General features: G+C 37.4%; 1 annotated feature.

Moving 5' to 3' along the window:
* Window positions 7329–7892: an enhancer, noted in NCBI's record as "NANOG hESC enhancer chr2:153916082-153916645 (GRCh37/hg19 assembly coordinates)". NCBI's record gives its function as "activates a minimal SCP1, AML or CMV promoter by ChIP-STARR-seq in naive H9 embryonic stem cells {active_cell/tissue: H9 hESC(naive)}" and the evidence as "EXISTENCE:reporter gene assay evidence [ECO:0000049][PMID:30033119]".

The raw sequence follows: 22316 nt of genomic DNA, 5'->3' as shown, positions 1-22316 counted from the left end.
TTAAAAAAATTGCATTTCAAGTACCTAGCAGAAAGAGAAAAGGAAAGATACATCATAATGCAATGGCAGATTATCAAGGAAAAAGAGAACTCCTCATACAATAGTAAACCACTTGAAACTTGTGAATCTACCCTCCAACTGTGAAATTAGTGCTTCTAATGTCTTCATATGTACTGTAGGGCACAGAAGCACCTGCACAATAGAGGGAGCTCAATCTAAGATGATCTCTTTAATCCGGAGTTACATGAAGGGCACTAAATTAGTCCTAGCTTGGTTGTGCCAGGCAGAGAGAAATATGCATCCTCTGTTCAGGAAAGCATTCTCTAGTTAGGCCCCCAGGATGCTCACAGAATAATTTCAAACAAATATAAACTCGCAATTAAAGTTTACCATGCCAACAAGAAAACAAGTCACCATGAGTGTCAGCAAAAATAAGCAGCAATCCCTAGACACTTTACATATTTACTTTGTAAGAATAAAAGTTATAAAATATGTATAAAATGTCTACAAAAACAGAAGATGTCATCACAAAAATGAGCCATCACTGAGAGCAAAAGTGACCAGGTAGATTTTTTTTTTTAATCTAGTGGAACTTTTAGGAACAAGTTTCATTTTATTGTTTAAATCAAAAACACAATGGGTGGGATAAACAGCAGAATTCATGAACTAGATGATACATTTGAAGAAGTTACCCATAATGCAGCTTAGAGGTACATGTAATGGAAAATATAGAACAAAAGAAATAAACAGGGTAGAATTAGAAGTTCTAACTGAAGTTCAGATGGACACATTCAGTATCTTTACTCATACTGGACCTGAAGTCTATATCTCCTGATTCACTTGTGAACTTTTGAGAAATGTTCAACTTCAACAGTTTAAATCTCTTCTCTGCAGCCTCTCTTCCCCACCCGTCTTGTCTTTCTCAAACCAAATCAACTAATCACATTATTTGTTGCACATCGTTTACTTCTCTGTATTACCTCTTAGATAGAAAGTTGGTCCAAGAATATCTCATGGATTCATTTTATTCATAAATATTACAGCAGAATAGATCTCTCATACAAATTCCAGGAGGGAGAAAGAAAAAATAAGCAGGGAGAGAAGTAAAGTGAGAGAGAGCAGTCAATGAAAAACTACTCATAACAAAGGACAAGGAACATCATCTTAATAAGTGAAAGAAAGCACAGGCCTCTTAAAATGACTTACTCAAAAATCCAGAATAAAAACAAGAAGAGTTTAACTCTGTAAAGTTTTTAATAGGATGCTTTAAAAAAAGAAGAAAAGCCTCTATCACCAGGAGTAAAAACCCATAAGTAGAATAAACTGGGGGAGAAGACTACAAAAATATGAGTCACAAGATAGGTCAGGGGAAAGGGTGAGACAAGAAAATCTTACAGGAATACATAAAAATGTAAAGCTAAATGTAATCGAATGCAGAAAATAAAATTAGAGATGTGGAAGTCAAAATTGAGTACCTCTCTTAGAATGTGGAAGAAAAGACAAAAAGGGTAGAATAAGAGGAAAGATAATAAATACTCAGACAACAGAGATGCAACATGACTGTGAAGGAGCATTAACAATGGGAATACATGAACACACAAAACTTTCTTGGTTAGGGAAAAAAGCATGGGGTGGAGGTGGGGGTTCTTCCTTGGGGTGGGTGTGAGGGGGCCTTCCTCCATCTTCAAAGCCAGCAATGACAGACTGCATTCTTCTCTTATCACTCTGACAACTCTTCTGCCTCTGCCTTCCCCTTTTAAGAATTCTGGGGATGAGATTGGGCCCACCTGATCATACAGGCTGATCTCCCTAACTTAAGGTCACCTTATAAGCAAATTTACTTCCATCTGCAACCTAAATTGCCCTTTGTATTATAATGTAACATATTCACAGTTTCCAAGGATGAGGAAGTGGACATCTTCGTGGGGTGGGGTGAGGGTCATTATTCTGCCTACCTCAATCTCCTAATAGAGTTTGCTTAATCATGTTTCAGAATCTGCACTCATACCATTATCTGAGGTCTAATTTAGCTGATAACTCTTAAACATCTGGGCCATTCTCTGCTTAGTCCTTCAGCATCCAGCTTAAAATTATTTTCCACCATGAAGCATTTTCTGCTACCTCCTCACATCCTATCTCTCTCTTCACTAATTACCTAAATGAAATAGCCACACAACTTTTCGAACAATAATCCTTTAACTTACTGTGTCACTTTTGTAATTCTGTTCTATGTGTATTTTATCCCCAAATAAGCTTTAATGTCTATGGAAAAATATGTTTACAAAGCACTTATAGTAGTGAGTGAATTATTATAAAATAGTACAGGGTATAAAAACAATGCAAAATTGAATACACAGTATCATCTAATTATTGAAGAAGATGCAGAGAAATATGATTGGAATGTTAATAGAATTATCTCATAGTAAGGGAATTAATGTTGTTTATTTTTCTTTCTTTAAAATGCTTGGGTTTTTCATCAATGTTCTTTCTGCCTCCCATAGCCTTTCTGCCCACCTCCCAGTTCACCTGCAGCTTCAGTGGGCAGTTCCCAAACTACTGACAGATCCCAACCTTAAGGCCTGCATCTCTCAACTTCTCTGACCAGGGATTTTCTCTGGGTTCTTTAGACCTTGCTTAACCCACATGCAAAACTTCCCACGGAAAAGCCTGGGAGTTAATGATGGGAAACCCACCACCAATGAGAGACAGAGTAGGGGGATAAACATCCCAGGTTCTGTCCCCTCACATGCCTGAGGCACAGTCTGTACAGTTCCTCAGGAGGGTTCCCATTGGGACTGAGCCACAGTCACCCACAACAATGACACATTCGTTCATGCACATTTTATTGTTTTTTTTCTCTTCCATGTTTTACTTTTTCCATTTCATTACTTTTGCTTCCTGGGTCACTTTCTATATAGACCACCTGGTGTAGGCAAACAGCTCATCTGTGGCACCTGGCAACCTTGCAGGCTTGAACCATAACTTACTCAGTCTTTAAGGAATGCCTTGTGATCTGTCCAAAACATGAGAAGATGGAAGGTCTGTAAGGAGTTGATATGAGGCCACCTCCCACTCACCTCCTTGTCGACGATCACAGGACAATTTCTCATCCCCTCCCCAATTCAGGTGAGATATGGATCTTCCACTCCAGCCCCACCAGAACAGAGTTGAAGAACATAAACCTACCTGTGCCCATCTAGATGGAGTTCTAGGAGTGGTGTTGTAGTCATCTGGCCCCTTTTGCTTCAGAGAGTGGGAGACGGATCAAGGCCATGGCCTTGTGGCTCATTCATCTTTTCACTGCTACGCAAGTAATGAATGGTCTAAATCTAAGAGTGGCTCATTGGATCTTTACCATCGAACCTACTAGGCCTTGGATTTGCCTGTTTTGCATGTATGTGTTCAACATACACACTCAAGTCCTTGGCTCGGGGTCAGCATTTGGAGAAACTGAAACTAAGAAATGCATGTATCACTTTTATAATGTCATATTCTGATATTAACTAAAAAATGAGGATATAAACATAACATACTACATAAATTTGAATTTGTAAGTAGAGAGTGTATGTGAAAGTGCAAAAGCAAAGCCAAAAGGAAAAGTCCCCAAAATGTAAACAATAATTATATCAAGAAGGAGTGTCTTAGTCAGTTCAGGTTGTTCCCACCACAGATGAGGTGGCATATACACAACAGAAACTTCTCACGGTTCTAGAGGCTGGAAGTCCAGATCAGGGTTCTGACAGATTCCATGTCTGGTGAGAGTCTGCTTCCTGATTCATAGATAGTGCCTTCTCAAGGAGGTCTCACATGGTGGAAGAGGCAGGGGGTCTCCTTCCATCTTCCTTTTTAAGGGCACTAAGCTTATTCATGAGGGCTCTGCCCCAACAACCTAATTACCTCCCAAAGGCACTATCTCTTATACCATTACATTGAGGGTTAGGATGTCAACCTATGAATCTGGAGGAACATAAACATTATATCTATGACAAAGAGAGATTATCGTGACTTTTATCTCTATACTTTTCAGTTTCTAAAATTTCAATCATGAGCATCATTATTTTATAATTTTAAAAACCTATGTTTTGGAAGCAAGATTTGAAATATGCATGGCAAGAACATTTATTCTTTAAATAGAGATGTTTTTATACATGGGCATGTAAAATGTAAGCATTCAAAAATAAAGTGGACAAAGGACATAAGCTCTTCATAAAAGAAATATAGAAAGCTAACAAACATATACAAGGCAGCCCAACCTTAATCAAAGGTTAAGCATCAAAGACTCATAAATCAAAGCATCCATAATCAAACAGATACAAATTAAATTAAAACAATGAGGTACCATTGTTTGCTATTAACTTGGCAAATTAAGTGATAATAACTGATGTTAATATGGGTGCAGGAAAATAGGCACGCTCATATAGCATTGTTAGGAGTATAAACTCATCTAATTCCCTAAAGGCCTTTACAAAGCCTTATAAATGTACATTCTCTTGACATGATATCACTTAAAATAATTTTTTCTCTAGAAAAATCAGAGCTATTCACAAAAAAAGTTAGGCATAAAATTTAATTTCCGATTGCTGGAATTATGGATGATTTTCATTTCATTTTTAAACTTTTCTGTCATTTTCAAATATTTTCACTACATATGGAGAATGTTTTAAACAGGAAAATGTTACATAAATATTATTTTCTATTTTAAAAGAAAAAAACATTAACTAACAAACTCCACAAGAAAAGCACCATTCCTTTGCTTTTCCTACCTTCATTCCATTAATATGTGTGAAGATGATGCAGATAAACTGATTTGCCCCAGCAGGCCATGTGCAGGGAGAAAACAGAAAGAACTATTTGTTTCTCTGCCTTGACATGAATACAACATGGCTTTTCACTAAAGTTGGAAGATGGAATGATTTGGCAGCAGAAATGAACTGAAGGCAATTTATATCTCTCTGGGTCTGAATACCCAGGTAACATTTCAAATGTCACCTGTAGGTTTTTTCTGCATTAACAACCCCTTATTTACATCTCTAAAACACACAGTGCAAATAGCCAATTGCTACAAAAAGATATTAATACATGCTTCACTCTTTACACAGTGAACATTAAAAGATATTAATACATGCTTCACCCTTTACACAGTAAATGTTAATGTTGAAGCTATGATGAGGAGAAAATATTTTGCCAATTACTATGGGAAATAGACACGCTAATGTTTCATTCTTCACACAGTGGATGTTAACACTGAAGCTATAATGAAGATAAAAAAAGTTTTCTAATCAGAATCGGATAGTTTTAGCTTTAAGAGCTAGAACATTTTAACGTCAATTTCCTTCATTTGATAGATTGGGCCTTTCTTGTTTATACTAACACAGTACATAGATATTTTGAATTAATGCTAAGATACTCAGCTCCTGGAGCCTGAAGGTAGTTTCTTGCATTTGCCAATAAGAAAAAAAATAATCTAGCAGTGTCTTAGTAAAATCAGCAATTTCTCATACTTTAAAATGCCATATTTTGTCAAATCTAAGATGCTGTAACTTGTTGAGATGCACAATTATTTTAGGTACTGTAGGAAAACATTGCAAAGTAAAATAAACTATGAGAAACTGTGTACCGAAATCATAAAATGCATCTGAATTTCAGAGATGTTCACATAGAGGGAAGGGAGGACATCTGAGAATCAAAGAATGATAATGCATCATTTACGTGTTTCAACAATGGACTGCAGGCAGTTCTCCTTCATTTAGTTAATTTTCTGCTTTCTGATTTCTGAAAGGAACTGACAGATTTATAAACATATTCAAAGCTTAACCACTCAAAGCCTTGTCTGAAATCCATACTACAGTACATCGCGCACAATTGGCAATGTGCTGGAGCCACATTTAGACCTGGATGAGCAAGGAGGTTGTTAAATTGTCAAGAATCTTGTGAGCTGGTTGTTACAGCCACTATTACAAATTAAATTATATTAACTTGAAATGAAATACGTCTTATCAAAAACAAAGGTAATAAATACTCAAAAAGCATCACCTAATTATGTTGCTGCATTTTACTATTACGTATGCTGTTGACATTATGCCTATTGTATCTGTACAGCAGAAATACTATATAATGGTGAGTTCCTGCACATCTCTTTCCAATTCTGCATTCAGTGATGTCACTTTGATAATCTGAAATCAGCCCTGGTGGAAATATTTACACCATGGAAATTGGCATATATTGCAAATCATGGCTTCTGCCTCCAGAAATTCTGTTGTTACGTATTTACCAGCACAGCACTGCCTACAGTAACAAAAAACTGTAAAAAGGTTGATTCTAAAATTGATACACTAGGTATACATTACACATAAATTTATATGCATACAGATGAAGGTAGTAGATCACAGTAAAAATAAGTGGCAGGAAACAAACATAAAAATCTGAAATCTAAACATTGCCCTTAAAAGAAATAGAAAAGCTTTAAGAAATGATAAGATTTATATTATTCAAATTATTCAGGGGGGACAAAAAGGTTACTTCAGTTTTCAGTGTTCCAATTTCAATACTCAAATGCCTAAATAACCTTCTCACCTTGACTACTTAATAAAATGCAGAAGGCTACGCACTATAATCTTTTACCATATGGAAGCTCTGATTCAAGTGAGTTACATTTTATCCACAGTTTCCCATTAAATAAGAGACAATATTACTTTCATTTTTCAATGACAACAACCTGGCATGAATTTGACTATATAATGTTGTTCTCAGAATGACCTACCTTATCTACAAACCAGTGAAATCCAACTGGGTCAAATAACATTTAGATGCTAACTAAATACTGATGACTGAAGCAACAATCTTAAAATCTTTCATCATTTTGTGAAGAATGGTATTAAGTGATTTCTGTATAAAATAGTCAAAGAATACTATGATCTCATAAAATTTCAAAGACTGCAGTTCACTGTCCTTTGCCTCATATCTGAGCACTTGGGTAACCTGAGGAGATTTATTTATGAGAATTCATGTAAATCCCATTAGGCTCTTCTTAATACCCAGTGGCACTTTAGAGCTAATATATTTTATTTGCATTTACATAATACAACTTGATAGTCTCATATTGCATAATCTCATTTCACTCAGTTCATTTCATAAGGAAAACATATTGCTTGCAGTTTTTCCACAAAAGAGACCCTATGTGAACTATACCTAAATAACTTGCAGAGTACTGGTTGCCATGGCTGTACAGAAAAAGTAAGACACTATTGCTAATAGGAATGTTGGAAAAACTGATTTCCAACCTGGATTTATGATGCTAGTTTTTTGATTATATATTTAATGAAGCCAATTCAGCATCCAACTCTTACCCAAGAAACTAGGGGAAAATACTCCTTTTTATAATTTTTAAAAAAATAATATGTAAACATTTATAACCAAACTAAAAAAGATAAATTTATCAATACTATCAATATTATCTGTGTTTGACTCTTAGTTTCCTTGTCTAACATTCTTTTCTCCTCCTTAATGTAACTGAAGTTTTCACTAGGGATATTTCTGACATGAGTCACTAAACAACAGGTTTCTCAGTGTGAACAAAGAGAGACAAAAGCATGACTGAGCATGTTTCCTTTGGGAATGTCAACAAGCCCGTCATTGCTTAGACAAAGCTTCACTGAGGAGTTTGGAGGAGAGAATGACAGGTGATAAACTTAGAAAGCTATATTGGGACATCATCGCAAAAGAGCCCAGTGCATGTCGTGACACAAAGTTTGGTGTTCCATTGTAATGTAACCAACAGTCACCACCTGTTATTTTAAAAATAGGGCACAGTTTTAAAAATACTTTGGAAGTATCAGTTTGGCAGCTGAGTAAGGACAGTTTAGGGAAAGAAAGGTGCTGAACAAGGGATATTAACTTCTCAGGACACAGCTGCAGTAGTCTAAGTGAGAGGCAGAAAAAACTTGCAGTGTAAAGTAGACTTCAAGAATCACTACATGGACATACTGTTTTCCATTTTAGAAGTCCAGTCATATTTGTGATAATATAGGAGCTCTGTAGCTTTACTGAAACTTGAAGAGTTTCTACAAAGAATCTGAGCCACTGGTCTTTATTTCACTTCCTCCCCTAGAAATTCCTCCCCTAGAAATTCCTCCCCCAACACACCCCTGCAGAATAGAGATTCTAGTACTCCCCATCCTTCTCCCATCACAAATAACTGATTTTTTAGGAAGCAGCTCAGTCCAGATAGTCTGCCCTTTCCAGGCCCTGGAATTCTGAAGAATAACATTTTCTCCCTCTTATTATACATACATAGGCATACAATGGAGATACTGTGGATTCAGCTCTAGACCACCAAAGGAAAATGAATATAATAATAAAATGAGTCACATGATTTTTTCTTGCTTCTTAATGCATATACAAATATATGTTTACACTATAGTGTAGTCTATTAAGTGTGCAATAGCATTACTTTTTTTTAAGTGTACTACATTAACTAAAAAATACTTCATTTGGAAAATGATGGATAGGAGACAGGATTAGCATGCAGCTCCCACCTGAACAGAGAGAACAGTGTGTGAAGACTCACATTGTGAACTTTTGCTCCAAGAACCACCACGGTAATATACCAGAAAAACAGGAAAGAATTCACAGACCCTTTGAAAGAAGTGGCTTGCAGCTGCAGCCTCTGCAAGATAACCAAAAAACTGTGAGTTCCCAAAGTGTGAGGTGGGGTATGTCTGCCTCCAAACACACACACCCACTGAGAACCCTGAAAATTCAGATCACAGGATAAGATTTGAGCTGACCTAAAGTTGAAACAGATTTAGGGAGCTGAAGGAAATGCAGGAACGAAATGTGCCCTGAGAAGTTAGTATCCCTTGTTCAGCACCTTTCTTTCCCTAAACTGTCCTTACTCAGCTGCCAAACTGAAGAAGTAGAAGCAGCAGCAGCAGGAAGAGCTCCATAGTCATTGCCGGTCCCCAGCTCAAGCCCAGTAAAGCCATTCCTGTTTTTTTGTTTGTTTGTTTTGTTTTGTTTTTGAGACAGAGTCTTGCTCTGTCGCCCAGGCTGGAGTGCAGTGGCGCAATCTCGGCTCACTGCAAGAGTGAGCAACCTCTGCCTCCCAGGTTCACGCCATTCTCCTGCCTCAGCCTCCCGAGTAGGTGGGACTACAGGCGCCCGCCACCACGCCCGGCTAATTTTTTTGACTTTAGTAGAGACGGGGTTTCAACGTGTTAGCCAGGATGGTCTCAATCTCCTGACCTCGTGATCCACCCGCCTCGGCCTCCCAAAGTACTGGGATTACAGGCATGAGCCACCACACCTGGCCGCCATTCCTGGTTTTTATCTCACAGGGTCTTTGGGGATGGGAAGACAGCCAGCCTTGGGGTGGGGCTACAGGGTGAACAAGATTCCAGCTGAACTTCGTAATAATTTCAACTGAGCATAAATTTTGCTGAGCAGAATCTGGAGGCAGGAAAATAGGAAGTACAGATATGAGTGTAGAAGCTGCAGCCAATGGTGCATGCAGGTGGGGAGTGGCCAGGTCTGAGAGTCCTGCTTGTTTTGTCAGCTGGGGGGCTTGTAGACTTGGGGAAGAGCTCAGCCTTGCTCATCAGCTGCCTGGACATAAACTCAGTGCTGTTGGTAGTGGGGAGGGAGGGCATGGGGGAGTGAAAATGACCTTGCTGGCTATGTGAGAACTGGGTAAGGCCTGTCACTGCTAGCTTCCCCCACTTCCCTGATGACATGTATGATGCAGCAGAGCCAGCCATAGTCCCACTGGAAACATAACTCCATTGGCCTGAGAACCATGCTCTTAACCCCCACAACAGCAACAGCGAGGCCTGCCTAAGGAGAGTCTGAACTCAGACCCACCCAAACCTGCCCTCACCTGATGGGCTTTCTCTACTTGCCCTGGTATCTGAAGACAAAAGACATAAACAATAACGAGCATGATGAATGGAACAGTTCCTCATATCTCAATACTAACAATGAATGTAAATGGCCTAAATGCCCCACTTAAAGATACAGATGGCAGAATGGATAAAAATCCACCAACTAAGTATGTGCTGTCTTCAAGAGATTCACCTAACACATAAGAACTCATGTAAACTTAAGGTAAAGGAGTGGAAAGAGATATTCCATACAAATGGACACCAAAAGTGAGCAGGAGTCACTTTTCTTATATCAGACAAAACAGACTTTAAAGCAACAACAGTTAAAAAAAAGACAGAGAGGGACATTATATAATGATAAAAGGATTAGTTCAACAGGAAAACATCACAATCCTAAATATATATGCACCTAACACTGGAGCTCCCAAGTTTATAAAACAATTACTACTAGACCTAAGAGCTGAGATAGACAGCAGTACAATAATAGTGGGGGATGTCAATACTTCACTGACAGCACAAGATAGGAGAATGTCCAATAGGTAGGACAATCAGAACACATACAACAGTTGTCACGTTTTTCATCTTATATGTGTGCAGTTTGTGGTGTCCCAAAACAATTACAAGAGTAACATCAAAGTTCACTGATCCTAGCTCACCATAACAAATATAATAATAAAAATTTTGAAATATTTCAAGAATTATCAAAATGTGAAACAGACGCAAAGTCAGCTCATGCTGCTGAAAAAAATGATGCCAGCAGACTTGCTTAATGCAGGGTTGTTACACACCTTCAATTTGTTAAAAAAAAATATCTGTGAGGTGCACGAAAGTGAAGCACAATAAAATGAGATATGCTTCTACCTATATGTCTACTCTTTGCATATAATTAATAAAAGTATGTTTTAAACTTTTTCTTTAGTTTCTGGCAAATTTTGCTGCCTTACAATTGTATAGATTTTTTTTTAAATATAAACTTCATTTGCATAAATATGATGCTACATCTTTGGCATCCTGAGAATTTTTTTTTTATGTTTTGCTTGGCCAGGGAAGGGGGATCTTGTTGTGGAAAAGTTTTTCAGATTTATGTTCTGATTATTTTTCTTAAGAATTATATCTGAAATAATGAAGACATACTAATTCAAAGGAGAAGAATAGGGTTTTTACAAGATGAAATCAGATTTCCTTCTAATTCTTTATTGGGACTAGATATTGGAGCTAGAAAGAAAAAGAATGTAATAATTCATAATACATTAATAATGTAATAATAGTCAAAATCTTATTTGAGTAAGTGATCTTTAAAGGAATGGTTTCCAACCTTGTTTACATCTCTCACATCAAAGCAATACCACATTCTATCATCGGCAGTAACAGTAGCTCATTATTGCAATAATTCTTATGTGAGAAGGGGAATTCAGATTTGGTTGGGGTGGTTCACAGCACAACAAAGGGGTAGGAGAGGAAATGAACGAATGTATGCATTTTGAAAGAGCTTCCAGGTGAAGCTGACATAAATTTCCACCCTTCTCCCTTCCCACTCCATCCCTACCATAATTGCACACTTCCTTCCCCAGACTTAATGTCTGCTTAAAGTCTGGATCACCAGAAGTTGATTTGAGACCTGGGGGCTTCCAACAGAACTGAGTTCAGTTGGAGCAGTGGAACCTATATTTATATTCTGACTGTACTCCTCTGAAATGAACTGAATTATTTGTTTCTTGATTTAAGGCAAACTGTAGACCAAAGCTGAATCCAGCCACAGTCGTTTTAAGCCTACACAGTGATTTCTTTTTAAATGTGTGTTTAGTTGCCCTTAGGTAGAACATAGATTTTTCCAGTTTTCTATAATTGCCTGTACTCTTTCTCAAACCAGGTTTCATCCACTTGTGTGTTTTCTAACTGGCCCCTAGAGGGATTTACTTTGTGACTTCTTAGTTAAGACAGGAGACTTTGTTAAGATGTAAGATGTCTTACTTTAAAAAGCAAGGATTTTCTAATTATAAGTATGTGACAAGGAATACATGAACAGAGGGAAAGGTTTCTCAGCACAAGTGTTATTATTCCATTTTATTATCTTTTGCCCAAAGATCTTGCTCCTACCAGGTCCTCAATGAGCTCAAGAAACTATAGAGTGAGTCTGGGTCATCTGGATAATTGATGTAAATAAACAAAAGGCCTTTGTTTGGGACCCCACGGGCTGCCTGAGGTTTGGGATCAAATGAAACTTTGCCATCAGCCTGTGCCTCTGTCACTTTCTTGTCATTACTGGTTAAGTCACACTGCTCCCACTGGTATGTCAACATAACAACCTCCCTTGACAAGTAAATCAAGAATTCTCTTCCCAATTGCCTTATTATTGTCCTAGGTCAATATCTCTGGAGGCTTAAGAAACTTGTTTCTAGGTCTCACCTTGATTTTGTTTAAGTTACAGGCCAAAAAATAAAATGATTTAATATTATAGAAAATCAACAGTCTAATTTTTTGGCAGAATTTGACTCCATTTCTGCCAAGGTACAACTATCCTCGAGAGTAACTGATGAGACAAGGAAAGAACATAAATGCATGAGGAGAAAGGAGTGATTAACATGATATAGAAGTCTAGGGACTACAGCACAAGTTAATCTAGCTCAGGCCCTTATTTCAATGCTGGCAAAATGTTACCACTCTAATAATACCTTCAATGTGCATAAAATAGAGTACATCTCTATGATTTGAAAGAATCTTAAACATTATCCACTCTTTCCTGAAGAAGTACTCATTACCCTGTGATAGCCTTGAGTTGGCAAAGCTGATATTCCAAGAGTTGATTTACAAACATGCATTTCCCTTACAATTCAGGAAGCTACGATTAGGTGAGCCATATTGCACTGATTATGTCAAATGGTTCAAAAAGTTCATGCACAGTTACAAAAGGCAAGATATTAGCATTCCTTTCTACTCAATTTTGATTTTCAGATGAGCTCTTTTGTACATATTATTATGGTGTAAATTTCTCTTTTACTATAAAACTATAGGTTTTAATCTGTGAAATCAATTTAGGTCACATCAGAAGCTTTTAATGAAAGAATAAAATAAGAGAATAAAACATAAGCCAGCATCACAAATATTGTTTTATGAACATTTTTTGTGTCTAGGGCCACAGTGTAAAATGTCTTTCTTAGTAGGTCATGGGTCAAAATTTTTGAAAAACAGGAATTCAGGAGCATTTCCCTTCATAACGTGCTGTCTCCCTGGGCTCCACTCCTGAACTAAGGCTTCGGTTGCCTCTGAGCCCGAATACACAAACTGATCTGGGATTTTAACTTCCATCTGCTTCCTTCCAGCCAGAAGGAGCAGAATCCAGGTTCACTTATCAAAAGACATACTTAGAGCTCTTTTCTGTCCTTCTCTCAGACTCCCTTTCTCCCAGTTCTTGAGATTTTTATCTGATTTAGGATAAATCTGATTTAGGACAGAAAACTGTCTTTGGCAGTATTTGGTTATACCTATTGCTCATGGCATAACTCCATGCACCAAGTACTTCAGTGCTCTGACTTTTTAAGTCATTCATTACAAATGCCCAAGTTCTTCAAACTTAAAAAAATTTTTTCTGCCAAAAGTATTGCCTTTCCCTAAAGTAATGGATACCCGAATCTGTGTTTTAGCCCAAATAGGAAAAAGGCTGCGGGGTAAAGAGAAATTATCAGACATGAATAACATTTCAATTAAAGTTCCAACGCTATCCTTAATTATTAAATTTAAAAGAATAATAAGTGAATGTAAAATTCAAAAGGGTATGTGTATATGAATGACACTTTTACACTGGTATTCACACTTACCAAATTCTGTTTAATCAAATCCTATTTTTATTCAAAACTTGAATGGAACAATTCTTTTATGTTTTTTCTAAAAACTTTACATAATGATTTTTAAAATCTCTGAGTGCATATATGACCTTTGACTTTAGATCAGTATAAACTTTTTTCAATGATCTTGAGTTTTCATTTTATGTTAAATGAACTGTGCAAATTTGACATGATGCAAAATAACATGTGGCTAAACTCTCAATTCCAGCATAAAATTTGGGGAAAAAATTGTTTAAACCTCCTAAATTGTAAAAGCTCACCAAGAATTTTATTATTTCAGAGCTGGCAGGCCAACTTCATTGTAAATGATATGTGCATAATTGCCAAACAGATGAGGATTTTATGTAAATGAAAACTTTTATGTAAACTACCCACCCACAATCTTTCTTCCGTAGCCAGTAATCGTATTTTGTTTATGTGCATCAGTATTGTGCAGGAAATATTTGTGCTATTTTCATTCACTCTTACCATACTTTAATTTTTCCTTATATATAATACGCTGTATATTATTGATCAAGTAATGGGGCTAGTGTTAGTGCAGGAATATGCCAAAATCAATAATGATGGGGGAAAGTCAGATATGATAAAAGACCATGAAGGAGGCCAGTCAATTGTCATGGCACCCTGTAATGGTAAAAACAAGCTAGATTTATTCAGGCTTGTGGAAAATTTAGTCCATAAGAGTTTTGAATTATGGGTGGCCTTCAGAAAAACATTCCTTGCATAAAATGTAAATGCTAGTCCTTGAACTACTTATAACTGTGGCAATAAGTACTTCAGAGTTGGGAATTATTCTGATGACTGTTATTTTCCTCAAACTACTATCAAAATGATTCAAATCAGCACGCCTTTGGCTCCATTCTTTTCAAAATTTTTTCCGCCAACATGATTTATCAGGAGTTAGGAAAGTGATTGCAGCTATTTAATGCGTCCATATATTGTTTCTGAGATGCCTGTGACCTTTTTCTTGTATCATTTAGAAAGAGGATGCCTAACAGCTTTGTGAAGTTGCTTTTCCCACTTGAAAATGTATTAACCACCTGTCAGTCACTGCCTTATTTTCTTTACAAATACTTATTGTTAGAGAGTCTTTACCAGACTTTATAAGTTAGACATTTCTATCAATCAAGGTCAAACTAGGAAAACAGAAACCTTTCTAAGCATTTAAAACAAAGACAATTTAACATAGGGATGAAGATCTGGGAGAGAAATCAGGGAGGCAGCACAGAGGTTAGAAACAGGAGAAATGGTGACCACCCTAGAGCTAGAGGGAACAGAGTGAGGAGTGGATTATGGAAACCAAGGGTCTGCACTGGCAGAGCGGGACTCAGGACATGGTTGCCAAAGGGTTATGGGGTCATAGAGAAGAAACAAGTCGTGCCAGAGATGCGACTAAGGCAGAGAAAGAGGGGAAGAAATAGCCTGACATCTCCCTTCCTCCAGCGCACCAATCTCCAGCCAAGGTTTCCCACTGGCCTAGCCCAAGACAGAACCCAGAAAGCACATCCTGTAGGGGTAGCTCCCCCACCAAACCAAGCATAGCAGGAGAAGAAAGGGCCCAGATCAAATCTTAGAGTAAGTCCAGAACAGCTCTACCTCCCCCTTCTCTTCTGATGATAAAACCATCCAGCTTCTAGTCAAAAGCTTAGCTTTGTGCCTGTGAGATAAAAAATCTGTGTTCTATCCTTTCCATGACAATCATTACATATAATCTCAGAAGAGAGCATTCTCAAAAAACTTAGAGTTGTAATCTCACCTATACCAGAATATGACTCTAAAAAATAAATATAATCTTTATATATCTTTTATAGATATATAAAGTTATTTTATCCTAAAGGACTCAGACCTAAAATGCTCTACAATGGGGCTTAAGATATCTAGTATAGAAACATAACAAATTCAGTATAATTGCTTCCTTTTTAATAAAACCCATCCACCACTTGGTCTTAAACTGCAGCAGGGGCAATGAGCATAATAAATCTCAATCACATTAACCTTTTTAGTCAGTCATACATAGGTGACTTTGGTCTCAAAATCTCTGAGTTGATTTCTATAAGGTTTATAGATGTAATTCTTAAAGAGCATAAGATAATAGAAACTCAGTCTCTGCTTTCAAATGATCAATATTTTAATTAAATATATTTTTCTTACTTTTCCTCTATGCCATTAATATAACCACACCTGCTGGAATTCAAGGAGCATGTAAATGACTTTCCCTAACTAATTGACAATCTCAGCAAATGTACAAATGCAATTTTATGTACAAAATCCATTTCCCTAATCTTAGCAAACTATAAGTTAAGAAATGAGGCTGTGACAAGCTTATTGATTCCTTGCCAACAATTTTCTCTAGCTGTCAACTTTTTATTTTTCAGGGTGTTCTTTTCTTCTCCTTAATTCAGTTTATATTCAAGGCTTAATGTTTCAGGGACTCTCCCTCATTCTCCTTTAGCTCACCAACCAGAAAAACACCAACTCTGGGTGAACCCAAATGTCCGCCTTCTCAGGACACGCACTTGGGAAATTGAATTTTGTTATACAAAATCACTAAAATGGATAGGTTTGTGTCATAATAAATTTGAGATTGTCAACCTCATCTGAAAGCTCAGCACTATCCCCATATACTATTGTAACACCCTCACTACTTAAATATCCTCTGTCCTCAGACATGCTGCTTTGTTGCCTCCACACCTGCTCTCAATAGATGACCTTTCCTTCAATTTCAGGAAACTAAGAAAAGCCAGATAGGATGAAGCCCCTCAGTGGCTTTTCTTCTCTCCTACCTCTCGTTACTGCAGGTTTTAGGCCAATGATTCTCAGACTAGTTTCCAAACTGGCAACATCAAGGGACTTGTCAGAAATTGAAATCCTCCAGCTCCTCCTCAGGCCTTCCAACTCAGAAACTCTGGAAGTGGGACACAATGATCTGTAGTTTCAAATGCCCTCCAGGTGATTCTGATGCATGCTCAAATTTGAGAACAATGATCTTAAGCTAATCCTTCTGTCTTTGCTGCAGATCCTGCCCAAGACCACACTCTCACGGCTTTAGAGCAATGGCACCATCATTAACACCCTCAGCCACCACTTTATTTAACACCTATGTCAACACCTTCCCTAACTCACCCTTCTATGTCAGACTTGTTCTACAAACAATTCTCCACCCTGTGGCCAGTATAGTTCTTTTGGAGCATAAATTTGTTAGTGTCATTTTATTTCCTAAAACCTGTCAAAGTATCCCATCTCTCAATTGTCTTATAACACCTTTCAGGATATAGTGTCTGTCTCCCCAGCTTCATCCTGCATGGTCCATCTCCTTGGGATTTTAATACTTCAGGTATCCTGAAATTCTTTCTGTGCCTTTAAGACCAGGCTCTTCCTAAACTCTGGCCCTTTGTGGATGTTGATACCTCATCTTAGAACACTCTTCCTCCCAAGGGTTTCTTCTGGATAAGTCTATTTGTCCCTTGTGTCTCAGGCCAGAGCACACTTCATCAAGGAGCCTTGGCTTGGCCTTTAGACTAGATGGAATTTCACTTTTATATGCTTTCTTAGCTCCATGTTCATCTCTTATCATAATTTTTCACTTTTTTCCAATGCCTGTTGCCTACATTAGACTGAAAGCTATCTGGGGGCAGTGACCATGTCCACCTCATTCACCACTATATACTCTATCCCTAACATAACACCTATGTCAGACCTAAGACAGGTGCTCAATAAATATCTGCTGAACAAATTAATAAATATCAAAATGTATGTTGTGGTTTTGTTCCTCATTTTCTCTTCTTTTAAAAATATTCCTTCAGTTAAATCCTTCTTCTTTTTTTCCTCAACAACTCCTTCCATTATTCTTTTATTATAAAAATACCTAAATCTGTGGTTCCCAGTCCATGTGCCGAGGGGCCCCAGGGTACCTTAGCAGATTCACAGGGACAGCATGAGATATTTTCAATTTTCAAGAGAAGCATAGCAACATCTGTCAGATATCATGCAAACTACTAGCTGGAGGAAGTTCAGAGTTTCAACATTAGATAACTACATTCTTTTTTAAAATGTCATATCTTTCTCAAGCTGGGTTTTCCGCAGTGGCTATGATAAAAAGGAAGTATCACGTGGAAATCAATATGGTACAGAAAGCTGTAGAGGTAGGGCAGAGGTGTCCAATTTGATTTAAAATTTGAAAAGATGTGCAGTGCCCAATAAGCACTAAGTTATGTTAAATAACAAATTCTTATGTTATTTGGACCTAATTACTTAAGAAGCAAGACTGTTAATTTTTTCTTTGGGCCTAGAAGCAGGAAAAAATTACTGAGACACTAAAGGAACTGGGAAAGTCTGGGAAACTCTGTCCTTGCCAAATGTTAATTTTTCTTTTCTTTTTTATTTTCCTTAGATTTATTTGATAGCCCATATAGGGTTTGAACCCACGACAAAATTAATTTATCTATTTATTTTTATCTCCTTTATATTATTAAGTTTTTTAAATAATTTCAACTTTTATTTTAGATTCGGGGGTACATGTAGAGGTTTGTTACATGAGTGTATTGCATGATGCTGATGTTTGATGTATGAATGATCCCATTACCAAGGTACTGAGCATAGTACCTAATAGGTAGTTCCTCAGTCTTTTCCACCCTCTTTTTCTCCCCTCTCTAGTAGTCCTCAGTGTCTATTGTTCCCATCTTTATGTCCATATGTACCCCATGTTTAGTTTCTACTTATGTGAGAGCATGTGGTATTTGGCTTTCTGTTCCTGTGTGAAATCACTTGGAAGTTTCCCGAGGATAATGGCCTCCAGCTGCATCCATGTTGCCAAAAAGGACATAATTTCATTCTTTTTTATAGCTGAATAGTACTCCATGGTGTATATGTACTACATTTTCTTTATTCAATCCACCACTGATTGAATAAAGGGAACCTAGGTTGATTTTTTGGAAGCATCTATTATGTCTTTTGCCTGCTTTTTAATGGGGTTATTTACTTTTTGCTTAAGTTCCTTATAGATTATAATATTAGACCTTTGTCAGATGCATGGTTTGTGAATATTTTTTCCCATTCTGTAGGTTGTCTGTTTACTCTGCTAATTTCTTTTGCTGTGCAGAAGCTCTTTTGTCTAATTAGGTCCAATTTGTCCATTTCTTTTTTGTTGCAATTGCTTTTGAAGACTTAGCCATAAATTCTTTCCCAAGGCCAATGTCGAGAATGATATTTCCTAGCTTTCCCTTGTAGGATTCTTATAGTTTGAGGTCTTACATTTAAAACTTTAGTTCATCTTGAGTTAATTTATATATATGATGAAAGGTAGGGGTCCAGTTTCATTCTTCTGCATATGGCTAGCCAGCTATCTCAGCACTATTTATTGAATGGGGATCCCTTTTCCCATTGCTTGTTTTTGTCAAATTTGCTGAAGCTCAGATGGCTGTAGGTGTGAGGCTTTATTTCTGGGTTCTGTAACATGTTCCATCTGTCTATGTGTCTGTTTTTGTACCAGTACCATGCCGTTTTGGTTACTGTAGCATTAGTTTTTCTTTTAATGTATCCCCATCTTGTTTTATTTTTGTTTATATTCCCACGCTGTTGTTGCTTATTAGGGTTTCTTTCAGTTTGTTTGGGTAAATCATGATATATCTCTTTACTTCCATTGGTTCTGATTCTTTTTGCTTGATTTCTATCATAATTTACCTCCTCTTCTGTAATGATTTCTAAATCTCCCATTATTAATTACTTATTGTAATGAAATGCTATATTGTAAAGAAAAGAAGATTGGCTTCATGAAGGTCTGTGTACAAACACATAAATACCCATTTTACATGTTTGGGTGGGTGGATGTGTGTGTGTGTGTGTGTGTGTGTGTGTGTGTAAAGCTAATTATGTACCTCATCTTCCCTCTAAATGGGAAATGTTACAGTGACTTGACCTTACACAATTGTGGGGGCCAGTTGAGCAGTCCCTGTAAGGCTGTTTTCTTCACATCTGATGCTAGAGCTTAAAGGTGGGTGTATGGTGGGAAAGAGCAAGATAAAGCTGGAACTCCCAAGTACAAAGCATACTGAAACCTGTGTCAATCCTCTTGCCCCTGGCATTAGTGATACGGATGTCCTTCAAAAGTTAGGTCCCTTCATTACACAGCTAAACACACACACACACCCCTGAAGGAGGATGCAGGACATGCTAGAACAGTTCCAGCCCAGTCAGTGCCTCACAGCAACAAGATGAGTCCACCAATAATTCAGCCACAGAATACATGAGCTACAAAACAGCTGCTGCCTTCCTTCCTCCCTCCAAATCTCACACAAGTCTCTCTCCTGTGGCCCACTAACTGGAAACATGCAGGAGAGGGAATTATGGGAAATGTAGTTTGGCTGAGTCAAGTGGACACTTTACAAAGCCTCCAGAAGCACAGCACCTCGATCCTTTACCAAAGTAGCTTACAATTATAGTTATAGGCAAAATATGTGTTCATTGAAAGACAAGTATCAGAAGTTCAGTATAGTATGAATAGTAAATGAGTGGTTTCAAAAGAAGTAGAGAGAAGTGCAGGCAGTGGTTAATAAAGTTGATATAATGGAAAGATTTCAAGTAGGTTAATAAGTGTGGGAAAGCAGCACTCCATTGAAGGAAAATGGCAAAGTCCCAGAGGCAGGAACAACCAGGCATTCTAAGACAATGGCAGATCGATCTAACCAGACCAAAGGTTCTGTGAAGTGAGGAGTGGGTAAATGAGCCTGGAAACAAAGGCTGGGGACAGACAACAGTCTCTGATGCCAAGCCCCAGCACCCGGCTTTATTCTGCAGGCAGAAAAAATGTCCTCATGATTTCTCTGACTCACTCCTATTGGTTTTGATTCTTCTCACCTGGTTTTAGATTAACATCATCTGTTAATTGTGCTGAAATGTTATATAGAAAAGAAAGTTGGTTTCGGACTTAGAAAGCCCTCAAGAAAAAAGAGATAAAAGTGTGTAGTTTTAAGTCCCGACGGAATACACTGAGAAAGTCAAGGCCAAGGGGGCGATATATACATACATACATACATATACGTGTGTGTGCATATATACACATTAATATATTACAGTAATACATTAATTTAAATATAATGTAATATTATATATAATGTAAGGCAAATGGGGCATGGTATGTAAAAAAAGTCTTTAAGATACTGAACCTGCAAAATATAACAATGCGCAAAACAGTCAGGCAAGAGGAAACTGAAGACATAGCCTTTTTCCCCCACAGCATTCCTCACAAAATAAAATTCGGGTCAGATTATAATTTGGAATCTTTGGCTATATACACCTCAAGCTTCTTCCCACATTTTATAGGACTCCAGCCTGCCCAATAAACTGATACGCCATTGTTATTCTCTCTACCCAGCAGACAGTTAAATACCTTCTATCCCCATCTTCAGGTCTACCAACTAGAAGGGATGACCCCAGTAAGATTCAAGCTGGGACAGCAGGAAGCTTGATGGTCTCCAAGTAAGTGTTTCTTAGCTCCTCTCCTGAGAAGCTTCTGGTACTAGGATAACCAGGTCCTTCTGTGGGTAATATCTTCTTCATGACCTTCTTCCTGGGCAGAAGCATCTCCAGGAAGCTGGGTTCACTAACTGCTTCTGTAGGCTACAATCAATAACTTAATTGTTTTTCAATGGACAAAACTGTACTCTCTTCCCACAGTCTTGTGCTCTGATGCTTCCAGCTGGAGAACTGCAGCAGGGACCCCCTACTAAGTTTGTTTCCATGGAAAGAGTCGTGGGATAATATCCAGGAGAACTGGATCATGATCCCTGTTCTGCAGCTCACTAACTGTGCCATGGGCTTTGTAAAATGAATTGGTTAAATTAGGTATCTCCAGGATTTCTTCCAGATTTAATTTTTTTTCAAATTTCAAGATATGCTCATTAAAATGAGATCCAAAATTTTACTTATCAAATTATTGGCAGAAATGAATATAATACTGCTGTTTGCTGTTGGCAAACCCTGTTACCCTGGAGGTGAGAGATCATTTTAGTAAGAAAAACATGGTTAGCATTTGCCATTATACAGAATAGCTTTTTAAATATACATGCTCCCAGGCATTCCTGTCCTTCACAACCAGAATTATCAGTTTCAAGGACCTATCCAGCATGTGTGTATAGATATAACTGTATCTCACAACATTGTTTACAATGATTAAAAATTTAGAAATAATACAAATATCCACAAACAAGCAACTGATTAAATTACAGTAAATCCATGCAATGCTATTGCACAAAGCAACTGCTATAGAAAAATATGTAATAAAAATGAAATGTTCTCTATATTAATATGTAAAAGGAAATAATTTTCTTATTGTTTTATTAACAACCATCCAGTATAATATCAATTTGGTTATATATAGTAAACATATTTTTCCAGATCTGACTGGCCTGTGAGTGCTAAATAAAGCTACATTGTTTTAAACAGCCAGTTGATAACATATGTGATCCCCCATTCTGCAGAAGTCCATGCTTCCATCAGGTTCTCCATTCAGGAAAATCTAGGACTCTCCAAGGAACTTTTACTTCCTCCTCAAATCCACTACTGGTATGGAGTGTTAAAGGTGGATCTGTGCCTCAGTATG

The sequence above is a fragment of the Homo sapiens genome, chromosome 2 (genome assembly GCF_000001405.40).
Source record: "Homo sapiens chromosome 2, GRCh38.p14 Primary Assembly".
Lineage (NCBI taxonomy): Eukaryota > Metazoa > Chordata > Mammalia > Primates > Hominidae > Homo > Homo sapiens.
The sequence above is the reverse complement of the archived record's forward strand: the minus strand, read 5'-3'. Positions and strand labels throughout refer to the sequence as shown.